Below are 672 nucleotides of genomic sequence, written 5' to 3'. Positions count from 1 at the left end.
GAGCATCTTAGGAGAAATATACACATAGAGCCTTATATGAGACTTATTTCATCACATCATCTATACACAGTATCCAATTATGACATATTGAAAAGAAAAAATAACCTAAGTGACTTAATTTTTTAAGTATATTTTCAGAGCTGTTCCTGCCTAAAGAGAAACAAAAGAAATAAAGTAAGTTTTTGCCAATTGCCAGATGGCAGCTGTGGTATAGAAGAAAGAACACTGGCTTTGGTATCCAAAGACCTGGGTTTGAGGCCTGGCTCTGCCTTTGTGGTCTCCAAAGCTTTGGTTGAGTCACTAAACTTTTGAGTCAGAAGTTTCTCATTTACAAACAGAAGAATAATACATGTGTCTCGCCACTGCTGTGAGGTTGAAAAGAAATAACAGATAAAAACAGACTTTATAGATTGAAAAGTAAATAGAAAATAAAATACATTCTCCAAATGACTCCATTCTCCAGGGAGATTTCATGCAGAATTTAACAGAATCTTTTAGGGGAAAAAAGTTTTTATCTCTATAACCATCTTTCCCAGACAAGAAAAAAAAAATTCACACAAAACCATTTGAATGTCCAATGGGTTCCACCAAATAGATTTACATGCCCATTGAAGATGACCATAAACATAGTTATAGTATCCAGTTATAGCATCTAAAAAAAGGTATTGCTAT

The 672-nt window shown here is 33.8% G+C and overlaps 1 annotated feature.

Annotated features, from left to right (window-relative positions):
- Positions 247-316: a silencer, noted in NCBI's record as "silent region_19949". NCBI's record gives its function as "represses an Ori minimal core promoter by ATAC-STARR-seq in GM12878 lymphoblastoid cells {active_cell/tissue: GM12878}" and the evidence as "EXISTENCE:reporter gene assay evidence [ECO:0000049][PMID:35858748]".

The sequence above is a fragment of the Homo sapiens genome, chromosome 9 (assembly GCF_000001405.40).
Source record: "Homo sapiens chromosome 9, GRCh38.p14 Primary Assembly".
Lineage (NCBI taxonomy): Eukaryota > Metazoa > Chordata > Mammalia > Primates > Hominidae > Homo > Homo sapiens.
Note: the sequence above shows the minus strand (reverse complement) of the source record. Positions and strands in the feature narration are given on the sequence as shown.